This window comes from Homo sapiens, chromosome 7 (assembly GCF_000001405.40).
Source record: "Homo sapiens chromosome 7, GRCh38.p14 Primary Assembly".
In the NCBI taxonomy this organism is placed as follows: Eukaryota; Metazoa; Chordata; class Mammalia; order Primates; family Hominidae; genus Homo; species Homo sapiens.
Window position 1 is genome coordinate 14266847 of NC_000007.14, and position 14949 is coordinate 14281795.

The 14949-nt window shown below is 37.6% G+C and overlaps 1 protein-coding gene across 21 annotated transcripts in view, besides 2 other annotated features; it reads right to left on the reverse strand.

Annotated features, from left to right (window-relative positions):
• The window catches only part of DGKB (diacylglycerol kinase beta), an 829810-nt gene that overhangs the window by 121798 nt on the left and 693063 nt on the right, over positions 1–14949 (reverse strand). The window lies entirely within an intron of this gene.
• Positions 1742–2243: an enhancer, noted in NCBI's record as "H3K27ac hESC enhancer chr7:14308213-14308714 (GRCh37/hg19 assembly coordinates)". NCBI's record gives its function as "activates a minimal SCP1, AML or CMV promoter by ChIP-STARR-seq in naive H9 embryonic stem cells {active_cell/tissue: H9 hESC(naive)}" and the evidence as "EXISTENCE:reporter gene assay evidence [ECO:0000049][PMID:30033119]".
• Positions 2244–2743: an enhancer, noted in NCBI's record as "H3K27ac hESC enhancer chr7:14308715-14309214 (GRCh37/hg19 assembly coordinates)". NCBI's record gives its function as "activates a minimal SCP1, AML or CMV promoter by ChIP-STARR-seq in naive H9 embryonic stem cells {active_cell/tissue: H9 hESC(naive)}" and the evidence as "EXISTENCE:reporter gene assay evidence [ECO:0000049][PMID:30033119]".

The window sequence follows — 14949 nt, forward strand, 5'->3', positions numbered from 1 at the left end:
CTTTGATATTAATGATCATCACTATGTTAAAATACGTTAATACTTAAGCAGACTGATGTACATAACTGTAACAGGTTTTTTGTTTTAATTTCTTTGTCATCTAAACATTACCTTATATTTTAAAGCCAATTTGTTTTGTAATATAGATAATGAACAAGTTGGTTTCCCCCTAGAGATGTCTATGATACGTGAAAGATGTTTGTGAATGAATACATGTCTTTGTGTGTATTCTATGGTGTGACAGATTAAAAATGCCACAAGTTTTTTGATGTTTTTTCTATCAAGTCTTAGAAGATTCTATGACTGCTTTGACCAAAAGAAAAAAACAGAAGACAAATGCCAATTTCTGGGCCAGATCTTAGGAGAGTGGCGGCCTCCACCTCCTATCTCAACACTTGGTCTTGGAGCCCTGAGAAACTGTGTAAGAAATTCAACTAGCTATTCAGCTACAAAAATCATGTGAAGAGGCCCTGAATCTACATGAAGAAGAAGGTGGACCTAGGTGAACTCAGCCTTTCAGACCTGTGCTAAGATGCCAAGTGATCTTGTCATGCCACGTAGAGCAGAAAGATGACTAGCCCAATTGCTGGCCCAGAAAACCATGAGTTGTAATAAGTGCTTATTTTTTTTTTCTTTTTTTTTTTATTATTTATTTTTTTTGAGACGGAGTCTGGCTCTGTTGCCCAGGCTGGAGTGCAGTGGTGCCATCTCGGCTCACTGCAAGCTCCACCTCCTGGGTTCATGACATTCTCCTGCCTCAGCCTCCCGAGTAGCTGGGACTACAGGCATGTGCCACCATGCCCAGCTAATTTTTTGTATTTTTTAGCAGAGACGGGGTTTTACCGTGTTAGCCAGGATGGTCTCGATCTCCTGACCTCGTGATCCACCCACCTCGGCCTCCCAAAGTGCTGGGATTACAGGCGTGAGCCACCGTTCCCGGCCTATTGTTTTAAGTCACTAAATTTCAAGGGATTTGTTATATAAATATAGATAACTAGAACATAGGGTAAATGGCATGAATATCTGAGGTGACACCCCATTTTATGATTCTTTTTCATCAAACTATTTTAGAACAATTCTACTAACTAGGTTACAACAAGATAAATATCCAAATACCATAAAATTACTCACAAGGGTACAAAGAAATATTGAAACTATTAAGTCTATAATTCCATGGTTAATGAAAAAATCAGGATTTTGCCAGCCAAGTATTATCCAGTTTCTATATTCGTTTTGGAGATGAGTCAAGTCTGCTAGCTTACTATCTAGCTCACTGATCTAACCACTATATAGAACTACATGACCTCTAGATTTAAAAACCTTTATCTTAAACATTAAAATCACACACACCCATAGTCACTGTACCACACACACACACACACACCACACACACACACTGCCTCTCTTCAAATATTTCTCTCACATCACCAGATTATAAGACATTTTATAAGGATGCTGTGAGATTCACCCACCACCCACAGGCAGCTGCTCTGAAGAGGAATTAATCTACAACAGCAATAAATAAATAAATAAAACATGGAATGAAAAACAACATACGTATTTTAGTATCCAGATATACCTATATAAATACATGGAGATACTTCAAGCATATGCAAGGTTATTGATTTAGAATTCAGCAGGAAGAGGTACCCAAAGAGTTCTCAGAATAACAATGTAAAAGCACATGAGAAATTCTTCTTTCATTTGTTTTTTTCTAAGATTTAAAAATGAGATTAGTGCAATTTAAGAAATGAATAAAAGAAATATGTTAGAAGATGTAGATTCTTTGGGGATTCCTAGCATTCAGTTTCGGGGAAATTTTGCCTTTCCTTTAAGGAAGCAGGTATATCTTATGTTGGCTTAGCAATTTAATCTATTTAACTCCTACAAAGCATAACTTATTTAGAACATATACTGGACATTTTATGTATCACTTCTGATTAAGAGTTATTAAAAATAATGTGAATAGCAAAACATTAATTTTGGCTTTGATAGTGTCTCTGTAATATGTAAGAGCAGTGTATTGGTTATCTATTGTGAATAATAAGTTACCTTTTTGTTTAGCAGCTCAAAACAACACACATTTATTAGCTCACAGTTTCTGTGGGTCAAGGATTCAGGGCCAGGTGACTCTGACTGAGTCTGTCATGATGATTCAGGTAAGCCATCACCAAGAAGCTGAAGGTTTAACTTGGGCTGATCTGATTCCATGATGGCTCATTTGCGTGGCTGTTGGCTGGAGGCCTCAGTCCCTCAGAGGCTATCGGCAGAAAGCCTTAGCTCCTTGCCATGCTGACTTTTCTGTGGAGCTGCTTGATCTCCTTATGACATGGCAGCTGGCTTTACCCAGAGTGCACAGTTAGGAAGAAAGGAGGAAGCTGCAGTGATTTTTACGACCTAGTTTCTGCAATCACACACTAACACTTGTGCTTTATTCTGTTCATTAGCAGTGAGCCACTGCGTCCACCCCACACTCCAGGAGAGGGAAATTAAGCTCCACCACTTAATGGAAGCAGCATCAAAGAATCTCTGGACAAATTTTAGAACCACCACAAGTAGGTTTAAAGACTTGCCAAGAATCAACTTAAATGGTCTGTTTGGTTCTGAATTAGAGGTGACAGTGTAACTAGTGAACATTTTGCTGCTATGAGCCACGGTTAGTATATATTTTGAAGGCTATATTCTTACATTTATCTGAATTCACTATTTCCCTGACTCCACCTCTGAGTCTTACAAGAATCAAATATATCTTCTCAGAATGCAACCTTATATTCTGGCAGAGCGGGACCATTATAGGTCAAGACGATAGCTAGATCAGGAGAAATAGTGCAAGGCTGAAAACAACCAGAATGGAATTGCAGTTCATGGATTTAGAAACTTCCTATTTCAATTCAATCTGTATATCTTCTTTATTTTATTTGTTAGGGAAATTTTATTTTCACTCCTGAGGAATATTGTAATATGATTTTAGTCCAAAATAAATCTTAAAATCAACTACACAGAGAAGACTTTATAACACAGTTTCTTTAAATATGTGGCAAATATTCAATTATCTGTATTAAAAGCCTGTAACACTTCATAAAATTAAGACAAGGAATTAATAAGTAGGTACCTTGGCAAGATTAAAATGTACTGACCTTTCTCAATTGAGGGTCATTGATTCCTGTGCCATTCACTAAGTTTATTATAAGGCTTTTTTTGCAAAAAAAAAAAAAAAAAAAAAAAAAAAGAGAGAGATTCCTGAATGCACTTCACGATAAGGGAGTTTTATATATAATGTGCATGTAAGATGGTAGTAGAAACAGAAAAGTAAAATTGTCAAAAGTGATGCAGTTCTAGCCTTAGGTTACTCAGTTTCTCTCTCATAGGCTATGCTCTCCGTTTCTCGAGGCATCTCCATTTTTAGTGCACATATGCTGCGTTCTCTTCTTTCTCCTAACCAATTTCCTCTGCTTACTCATAGTTTCTGCTCTGTCACAATGTTAGCTGGCATATGAACCTTCTTAGCCTCTCTTGCCTCTCTTTATACCTTGTTGTTAGCTTCTAAGTCACTGGTCAGCCTATGGTCTGTAGTGTGTAATGTGGGTCAGGGTCCCTCTTATCCTATCAACCAATCAGCTCTAGATGGGGTAGACAGGGGCACGGGGTTTACAAAGCACTTCCTTTTCAGGAAGGGCTGTGGTCACATTCATTCCTTTCAAATGTCAGTTATTGGTAGTACAGGCAATCTGAGTCTTTGTCCATGTGGTGCAATGATAAATAAATAGGTGCATAAGTTAAAAACTATATTTTGGTTCTCTTTTCTAATTGATGATCTTAAGAAAACATATACATAAGAAATATTTTCTCATCTGTCAAACAGAAACTCATTTGCTCATTTACTAAATAGATGTCCTGAAGGCCTATTGCCTGTGAAGCCCTGTGCTGGAATTTGCGGGTCTTGAAAGTTGCTTAAGGAGATTTCCTGCCTTCGAAAGCTTTCTGTAGGGGGGTGGGGTAGAAGGGTTAGGTATTCAAGCAAACAAGTAAAATATGATGTAGAAAGTGATTTTTCAAGAAGAGAGAAAACTTAAACATATGGTTACTGGAGTCCAGATTAAAACTAAGTAAATCACAGATAATAATATCTTCTTTCCCATCTTACAGAACTACTAACGTGTTAACTGTTACAATACAGGTACAAGCCTAGAAGGATGATTTTGGGGAGAACAGAGTTCTACAGAAATACAAGCTGTCTTATGAGTAAATAATAACAGAAATCGTTTACAGGGCAATTTTTTTAAACTGACTTGAATCACATATTTTTATAAGACTCATATCTTTTTCAATAAAATGTGGCCAAATTTAAGTTCACTTTCCCTTGTATTTTAACAGAAATCTGAACTTCCATTCAAAGAGAGATAACATGAGAAGCAGAATATATAGTGGTCCAAACTGTGTTGCTCACTATTTTTATGATCATGTACGTGTCTTTGAACATCCAAGGCCTCAGTCTTCCTTAAAAATATGAGATGATTAGACCAAAGCATCTTAAAGGTCCCTGTGGCCCTGTGATTCTATTGAGCCTGAGCCAATTAGTCAAACAGTTACCTGTCATTACACAGGCTGTGGTGTACACATACATTTTAGCACCAAACACAATTTAATAACAGGGCACAGAGGCCGCAAAGCCTCCTGATTCTGTTCCATTACTAATTTATCAGGGGCTGAAAGCAACCAAACTTAGGATCCCAGGCAGACAATGGAGCCTTTGAGGGGCAAGGGAAGCATCATTTAAAAGGAAAGCATTACCATTCTAAAATAATGGCAAAGCACATGAACTGAGTGCTCTGAAAGAGAGCACTACAAAAAAGGTATTCTCAGCTTAAATGCCCCAAACACAAAAGCTTTTAGTTGGGACTTAGACGGGAAAAAGAAAATAGCTCCCAATAAATTGGTTTTACCAGTATCCTTTTGTGTGTGCTGGTGCCAAGGGGGCGAGGGTACAGGCAAAGCGTGATTTTCCAAAACCTAGCTGAATTATGTTTCTTCTTTAGAACAAAACCCAACATTTTGCTAATGAGGATAAAGACAGTAAAACTGATATTCCTGTGCTATTACTAACTTGGGTATTGAAAGATCATTCACACAATAATTGTACCATGTTAGCACTATATTTGCATATCTTCTATTGTCTCCTTTCCTTGATATTTTGATTTAAAACCAGTAGATAACCATACAGTACCATATATGCATATACAACTTAATAATCTGATGTGCAAGGCAAAATGAGATTAAAAACTGAACACTTCATGCTAACCAACTGTTATTTATATGCTATTTTTCATAAACAATGCAAGATGACAGTGTATTTATTTGAAGAACTAGGTAAGTTAATGGTGTGTCAATTTAAGACAATATAAAACATGTAAAATCTTTTAGCATCCCCAGTCAGGTAGGCAAGGTGTTTGTTCATAGATTCTTGGTACTAACACTCTTTTTGAAAAATTCTACACAAATGCCAGGCATCATTATTAGCAATACATATACGTAAAATTATAGGTTTGAAGAAAAATCTCATATGATAAAAAAGAAATGCATTTTATAAATCTTTATAGGTGGCATAAACTATAAAAAATTGAAGATTTAGTTCAGAAAAACCTATTTTCCAACCATTTTTCTATTGAGATTTATATCTTTGAAGAAGCTATGCACATAATGACTTCAAGATTCATTGCACAGTAGTTATCTTTATCTGCCATACTGTTAGCACCTCCTTAACTGTATCTATGGTCACTCTACTTTTTTTGCTTAAAGCAGATGTCCTACATGACTGAAAACATTTTCTCATAGACCCATTAGTGTCTATGAGACATACATAAAAAAGTGAATCCCGTAAGAACTAGGAGATGATCTTAATGCATATTGTTGGTTTTTAACTATTTAGCAATTTCACTTATCTTGCAGAAATGGCTGTTGCCCTACCATCCTTAAGTGAAAGATAAGTTTCAATTGCAAATTCTTTCTGAATAATGAGTTTGAAAGGAAAAAAAAGATATAAAATGTGTAGGTTTGCATGTTGAGACTAGAGAATCTATTTGGGGGAATACATGGAATAGTTGAGTGAAAGGATGCACCTAATAATATCTGATATACCCGGACCAGGAAATGAAGACAATGTGACCAAATGTGTTTGTTACACTATTAGTTCTGAATTCATTAGAAAGATCACAGTGGGGTCTAGCATGGTGACTCATGCCTGTAATTCCAGCACTTTGGGAGGTGGAGGCAGGTGGATGGCTTGAGTTCAGGAGTTTGAAACCAGCGTGGGCAATATGGTGAAACCCCAACTCTACAAAAAATACAAAAAATTAGCTGGGCATGGTGGGGCAATCCCGTAGTCCCAGCTACTCAGGAGGCTGAGGTGGGAGGATTGCTTAAGCCCAGGAGGTGGAGGTTGTAGTGAGCCATGATCGTACCACTGCACTGCAGCTTGGGTGACAGAGCTAGACCCTATCTTATAAAAAATAAAAAATACATAAAAAGAAAGAAAGAAAAGAAAGGTCTGAAACAGGATACATGATAATATGTTTGGCAATCTCATTTCAGATGTAACAGTAAAGATATGAAATGATGTACATATGTAGTTTATGGATTCAGGGTCATTGTTCTATAGTCAGAGCCAAGATATTTATATCAAGTACTGTGGGCTTTCTGATTTATTACATTGTTGTATTGACACAAGGCAGAAGTGCTAGTTTTGAGAATAATTTGGGATATTAGTTGAATGGTAAATTTTCACGTGATAAGGTTCAGAAAATAGATTTTAACTGAATGACAACTCTACATACAAATACTGGCTGTATCTCCACTGGCTAAGCTCATTTTTCTTTTGAAAAGGTGTCTTCTAAAACTATACAGACATGATACCACTCAGTTGTTACTAGTAAGTAGCTTTAAGTTCATTCTTTGTGTAATTTACTTTTTTAAAATTTAGTTCATATTGAGGTGAGTATGTATATATGTGTGCAAAAAAGATGTCTGAATATCAGTAATTTCTCATTGTACTAACAGATAATCAAGATGACAATACCTAAGTTTATTTACAAACTTTACTTCAGGAATTACTCTTTTGAGGATTTTAAATTATTAGAAACATATTTGTATTTCATTGTTTTGTGGGAGATTATTCTAGACCTCATGACAAATGTCCCTTTTTGATACACTTGAGGGGCTTTGGCTAATAGGAGTTCATAAGTTGCTTTGCTCAACTGCAAGACGGTTCCAGGATTTACAGTAGCAGGTGATTGCCAGTTTGGTCAATGAATGGCTGTTAGCTCCTGAATAGCTCCTCAAAAGAATGTGACAGCCCCATGATCCACATGTTCCTCTGCTCTTGGCACTGTACTCAGGAGATTCCTTGAAGGTGATACGCAGTGATAGTTTCAGTGTTTGGAAACAGCCTCCAAATTTTATTTTATTTTTTCTCTCGGCAACGACTAATCCTACCTTAATCCACCTGGCTGGAGTTTTCTTACTAAAATGCAGACCTCCTCAAGTCACTTTCTACTAAACTCTTCAATGAATCCTAGTTACCCCAAACTCAAAATTGTTGGCATGGCATAAAAGGCCCTCCCTGCTTGCTTTTATATTATCTTTATCACTTGATACCTTTCCGCATTAACATCAGACTTATAGTTTCTCACTCTGTATTGTTTCTAACTTTATGTGTGTCTTAGTTTGTGCTGCTATTAAAAAATGTCATAGACTGAATGACATAACAATAAAATATTCATCTCTTACAGTTTAGAAGGCTGGGAAGTCCAAGATCAAGGTGACAGTGAATTTGGTATCTGGTATTTGGTATCTGGTGAGGGCTCTCTTGTTGGTTTGCGTACACTTTCTTCTTGTTGTGTTCTCAAATGGCAGAAAGAGGGAGAGGGCTCTGGTCTGCTTTTTTTTTCTTATAAAGGCACTAATCCCGTCATAGAGGCTCCACCTTCATTACCTCATCTACACTTCATTACCTCTAAAAGGCCTCACCTCTAAATCCTATCACATTGAGGATTAGAAGGTCAAATATGCATTTTTTGGGGGGTGCACTTCAGTCCATAGCAGTGTGTGTGTGTGTGTGTGTGTGTGTGTGTGTTTGTGTGTGCGTGTTATAAATGTGATTTCTTCTGTTTGAAATGGCCTTCTCTGTTGTCCTAGATGAAAGTATTTTCCTTCTTTAAAATACAGATTAAACATCACTTTCTCTGAAGCATCTCTCTGTCACCTCTGGGCAGAAATAATTCACAGTTTTTATGTTACCATTGCCTTGAATATACTTAAGTTCTATGTTTATTCTCATGACATTATAGATTTGTTTTGCTTTGTATTGTTTTGTTTTTAAATGTGCATATCTTCTCATCTTAAGGCAGTTACCATATTTCATACATCTTTATAGTCCCAACTCCTAATACAGGCCCTGGTATAGGGTTGACACACAATAAAAAGTTTTTGTATGAATATTTCTTGAAATAATATTGGATTATGAGCATTCTTTTCACCAAGAATGAAACACAAAGTCCTTGGTCACAATTTGACATGAGCCTACTTCTTCAACTAATCCAGGCTTACATTTAAATCTTTCCACATTTTTTTTCCTTCTAATAGCTTTTCATGCAGACAGAGGAAAGCAACATTTAACAAGCACTTAATTGCAACATGTGGGAATGAGTCAAATAGTGGTCATGTGTGGAACTTTTAATAGCGCCAATTCACATAGGGTCTCTGCTCGCTAGAAAGGCCATGCTTCCTCTGCCTCAGATATTTGACAGAAGACAAGCAACAGCTGAAACAAATACTGTCTTTAAACAAATCAACTAGCAATTCTTAATAGTGGTAGGTTTAACAATTACATAATGTCAGTGATGTCCCACCAGTAACAGATTAGAAGAATTCCAAGTTTGGAAACATCTCTAAAACTAATTCATAATTGCCATGATATGATGATGAGGCCAAATTTTGGCACAATGCAAATTTTAAATAACAGAATAAGCTGTCATTTAGTCCTGACTTTGTACAGTAGGTGAGCGTTTAATTAATTCTTATCTAATTCATAGAGTAAAGAAATTACTCTTTACTAACATAAAGACAGATTTCTGAAATCCTCTTCTTGCTTTTAGTTGCTAGCCTCACATACTATAGTGATAGACCTATTCGTATACAGGGAATATTTGGGGGCTTTTAATATTCAAAAATTAGATGGTACAAAGTTCATATCACTATGAGGCAAATCACTGAAGCTTTATTCTCAACTTAGCACAGTTCCATGTAATCTGCTCTGCTAAGAATTCAGCCTCAGTATTTGGTAACAGAAAAATTTCCAATGATACCACACAGCTCTCCATTCCCTAAAAAAAGGCAAGTAAATCTATGCATCATTCTCATTGCAGAACTATATATTTTCTTACATTGTATCGACACCACGCAAGCCAACATCTTTTAATAGTTTAATATTTCTTGCTATTGTACTTCTTTCAAAAAGTATTTTCTCAACCAATAAAGACATGATAAAATATGAATTAAATCAATTACAGTATGTCTACATGATAGAATACTGTAATGCCATTGCCATCATATTTTTAAAAACATTTCCGACATAAAGGAAATACCCAGAGTACATAAGAGAAAATTTTTGTTCTGCAATATTATATATACATCACTATTCTACATTTTTGTAGACTATACATCATATGCATGTTAGAAAAATTACTGGAATATATATAGTAAATTATTAGAGCAATCATGCCTAAATTGCATTACTATGAATGGTTTCTAATTTTTTGGTGCTTTTAAGTATTATAAAAATAGTAGTTATTGATATTTAGCAAATATGTGAGCTACTTTGCTAAGATATTTTATATGGATTATCTCACTTAACACAATAACCACATGATGTAGATACTATCATGACCTTTAATTTACAGATAAAGGAAGAAAACATTTATATTTTTAAAATTATTATTATTGCTTTATAATTTTACATCTTTTAATATTCTTTTTAAAGAAAAATTATAATTGTATACGTATATATGGGTACAATGTGATGATTTGACATATGTCTACAATGTGGAATGATTAAATCAAGCTAGTTAACATATCTTTTTTGTGGTGAGATGTTTGAAATTTGCTTATTTTAAAATATAAGATATATTATTATTGACTATAGTCACTCTACTGTGCAATAGATCTCAAAATTCATTTCTAAAAAATATCTAATTGAAATTTTATACCCTTTGACCAACAACTCGTTATTCCTTTCCTATACTTCCATGAGTTCAACTTTTAAATTTTCTTAGTTTATTTTATTTTTTTTGAGACAGAGTCTCACTCTGTTGCCTGGGCTAGAGTGCAGTGATGTGATCTCGGCTCACTGCAACCTCCACCTCCCAGGTTCAAGCGATTCTTGCACCTCAGCCTCCCAAGTAGCTGGAATTACAGGTGCATGCCACCATGCCCAGGTAATTTTTTTTTCTTTTTTTGTAGAGACAGTCTTTGCCATATTGGCCAGGCTGGTCTCGAACGCCTGGCCACAAGCCATCCACCCACCTTGGCCTCCCAAAGTGCTGGGATTACAGGCGTGAATCACTGTGCCTGGCAAGAGTTCAACTTTTTTAGATTCCACATACATGTGAAATAATGCAGTATTTGTCTTTCTTTGTCTGGCTTATTTCACTTATCATAATGTCTTCCAGCTTCATTCATGTTGTTACTAATGTCAGCGTTTCCCTCTTTAAGGCTGAATAGTATTTTATTGTATACATTTACAACATTTTCTTTATCCATTCATCTGTTGAACATTTAGGCTGATTCCATATCTTAACCACTGTGTATAGTGCTACAATGAACATGAGGATGCAGATATCCTTTTGACATATTGATTTCAGTTTTCAATTTCTTTGGATATATACCCGAGGTAGGATTGCTGGATCATATAGTAGTTCTATTTTTATTTTTTTGAGGAATCTCTATACCATTTTTCCATAAAGGCTGCACTAATTTTCATTTCCCACCAACAGTATACATGGGTTCCGTTTTCTCCACATCCACACTAACCTTTGTTATCTTTCATCTTTTTTATAAACACCATTTTAACAGACATGAGGTATCTCACAGTGGTCTTAATTTGCATTTCCCTAATGATAGGTAATGCTGAGAATGTTCTTTGTGAATTTGTTGGTCATTTGTATGTCTTCTTTTCAGAAATGTCTACAGATTCAGTGCAATTCCTATGAAAATCCCAATGCCATTTTGGAAACAGAAAAAACACTCTTTAAATTCTCATGGACCCACAAAAGACCCTGAATAACCACATCAATCTTGAGTAAAAAGAACAAAACTGGGGCATCACATGCCCTGAGTTAAAAAATATTATGAAGCAATTGCTATCAAAAATAGCATAGCACTGGCATAAAAACAGGCATACAGACCAATGGAATGGGATAGAAAAACTAGAAATAAACCCATATATTTATGGTCAATTGATTTTAGGCAAAGATGCCAAAAACACACAATGGGGAAAGGACAGTATCTTTAATACATGGTATTGGGAAACCCGGATATCCACGTGCAGAGGAATGAAACTTGATCCCTATCTCATACCATGTTCAAAAACCAACTCAAATGGACTAAACACTTAAACACAAGACCTAAAACTATACGACTACTAGAATAAAACATGGGGAAAATGTTCATGACATTGGTCTGGCAATGATTTTTGGGGATATGACCCCCAAAGCACAGTCAACAAAAAGTAGACAAATGGGATTGCATCAAACTAAAAATGTTCTGCATGGGAAATGAAATAACAGAGGGAAAGGACAGCCTACACAATGGAAGAAAATACCTGCAAATTATACATCTGATAGGGAGTTAATAAGCAAAATAATAATAATGAGAATAATAATATAAGGAACACAAACAACTCAATAGGAAGAAAATAAATAACCCAATTAACAGTGGGTAAAATGTTTATTATTTTAAGAAATGAATTGGAAAGGAGGAGCCAAGACGGCCGAATAGGAACAGCTCAGGTCTACAGCTCCCAGCCTGAGCAACGCAGAAGACGGGGGATTTCTGCATTTCCATCTGAGATACGGGGTTCATCTCACTAGGGAGTGCCAGACAGTGGGCGCAGGTCAGTGGGTGCACGCACCGTGAGCGAGCCGAAGCAGGGCGAGGCATTGCCTCACTCAGGAAGCGCAAGGGGTCAGGGAGTTCCCTTTCCTAATCAAAGAAAGGGGTGATGGACGGCACCTGGAAAATCGGGTCACTCCCACCCGAATACTGCGCTTTTCCGATGGGCTTAAAAAATGGCGCACCACGAGATTATATCCCGCACGTGGCTCGGAGGGTCCTACCCCCACGGAGTCTCGCTGATTGCTAGCACAGCAGTCTGAGATCAAACTGCAAGGCGGCAGCCAGGCGGGGGGAGGGGCGCCCACCATTGCCCAGGCTTGATTAGGTAAACAAAGCAACTGGGAAGCTCCAACTGGGTGGAGCCCACCACAGCTCAAGGAGGCCTGCCTGCCTCTGTAGGCTCCACCTCTGGGGGCAGGGCACAGACAAACAAAAAGACAGCAGTAACCTCTGCAGACTTAAATGTCCCTGTCTGACAGCTTTGGAGAGAGCGGTGGTTCTCCCAGTACGCAGCTGGAGATGAAATTCTGGGTTGAAAATTCTTTTCTTTAAGAATGTTGAATATTGGCCCCCACTCTCTTCTGGCTTGTAGGGTTTCTGCTGAGAGATCCGCTGTTAGTCTGATGGGCTTCCCTTTGAGGGTAACCCGACCTCAAAGGCAGACTGCCTCCTCAAGTGGGTCCCTCACCCCTGACCCCCGAGCAGCCTAACTGGGAGGCACCCTCCAGCAGGGGCACACTGACACCTCACACTGCAGGGTACTCCAACAGACCTGCAGCTGAGGGTACTGTCTGTCAGAAGGAAAACTAACAAACAGAAAGGACATCCACAACAAAAACCCATCTGTACATCACCATCATCAAACACCAAAAGTAGATAAAACCACAAAGATGGGGAAAAAAACAGAACAGAAAAACTGGAAACTCTAAAAATCAGAGCGACTCTCCTCCTCCAAAGGAACGCAGCTCCTCACCAGTAACGGAACAAAGCTGGACGGAGAATGACTTTGACAAGCTGAGAGAAGAAGGCTTCAGACGATCAAATTACTCTGAGCTATGGGAGGACATTCAAACCAAAGGCAAAGAAGTTGAAAACTTTGAAAAAAATTTAGAAGAATGTATAACTAGAATAACCAATACAGAGAAGTGCTTAAAGGAGCTGATGGAGCTGAAAACCAAGGCTCGAGAACTACGTGAGGAATGCAGAAGCCTCAGGAGCTGATGCGATCAACTGGAAGAAAGGGTATCAGCAATGGAAGATGAAATGAATGAAATGAAGCGAGAAGGAAAGTTTAGAGAGAAAAGAATAAAAAGAAACGAGCAAAGCCTCCAAGAAATATGGGACTATGTGAAAAGACCAAATCTACGTCTGATTGGTGTACCTGAAAGTGATGGGGAGAATGGAACCGAGTTGGAAAACACTCTGCAGGATGTTATCCAGGAGAATTTCCCCAATCTAGCAAGGCAGGCCAACATTCAGATTCAGGAAATACAGAGAACGCCACAAAGATACTCCTCGAGAAGAGCAACTCCAAGACACATAATTGTCAGATTCACCAAAGTTGAAATGAAGGAAAAAATGTTAAGGGCAGCCAGAGAGAAAGGTCGGGTTCCCCTCAAAGGGAAGCCCATCAGACTAACAGCGGATCTCTCGGCAGAAACCCTACAAGCCAGAAGAGAGTGGGGGCCAATATTCAACATTCTTAAAGAAAAGAATTTTCAACCCAGAATTTCATATCCAGCCAAACTAAGCTTCATAAGTGAAGGAGAAATAAAATACTTTACAGACAAGCAAATGCTGAGAGATTTTGTCACCACCAGGCCTGCCCTAAAAGAGCTCCTGAAGGAAGGGCTAAACATGGAAAGGAACAACCAGTACCAGCCACTGCAAAATCATGCCAAAATAGAAAGACCATCGAGACTAGGAAGAAACTGCATCAACTAACGAGCAAAATCACCAGCTAACATCATAATGACAGCATCAAATTCACACATAACACTATTAACTTTAAATGTAAATGGACTAAATGCTCCAATTAAAAGACACAGACTGGCAAATTGGATAAAGAGTCAAGACCCATCAGTGTGCTGTATTCAGGAAACCCATCTCATGTGCAGAGACACACATAGGCTCAAAATAAAAGGATGGAGGAAGATCTACCAAGCAAATGGAGAACAAAAACAGGCAGGGGTTGCAATCCTAGTCTCTGATAAAACAGACTTTAAACCAACAAAGATCAAAAGAGACAAAAAAGACCATTACATAATGGTAAAGGGATCAATTCAACAAGAAGAGCTAACTATCCTAAATATATATGCACCCAATACAGGAGCACCCAGATTCATAAAGCGAGTCCTGAGTGACCTACAAAGAGACTTAGACTCCCACACATTAATAATGGGAGACTTTAACACCCCACTGTCAACATTAGACAGATCAATGAGACAGAAAGTCAACAAGGATACCCAGGAATTGAACTCAGCTCTGCACCAAGCGGACCTAATAGACATCTACAGAAGTCTCCACCCCAAATCAACAGAATATACATTTTTTTCAGCACCACACCACACCTATTCCAAAATTGACCACATACTTGGAAGTAAAGCTCTCCTCAGCTAATGTAAAAGAACAGAAATTATAACAAACTATCTCTCAGACCACAGTGCAATCAAACTAGAACTCAGGATTAAGAATCTCACTCAAAACCGCTCAACTACATGGAAACTAAACAACCTGCTCCTGAATGACTGTTGGGTACATAACGAAATGAAGGCAGAAATAAAG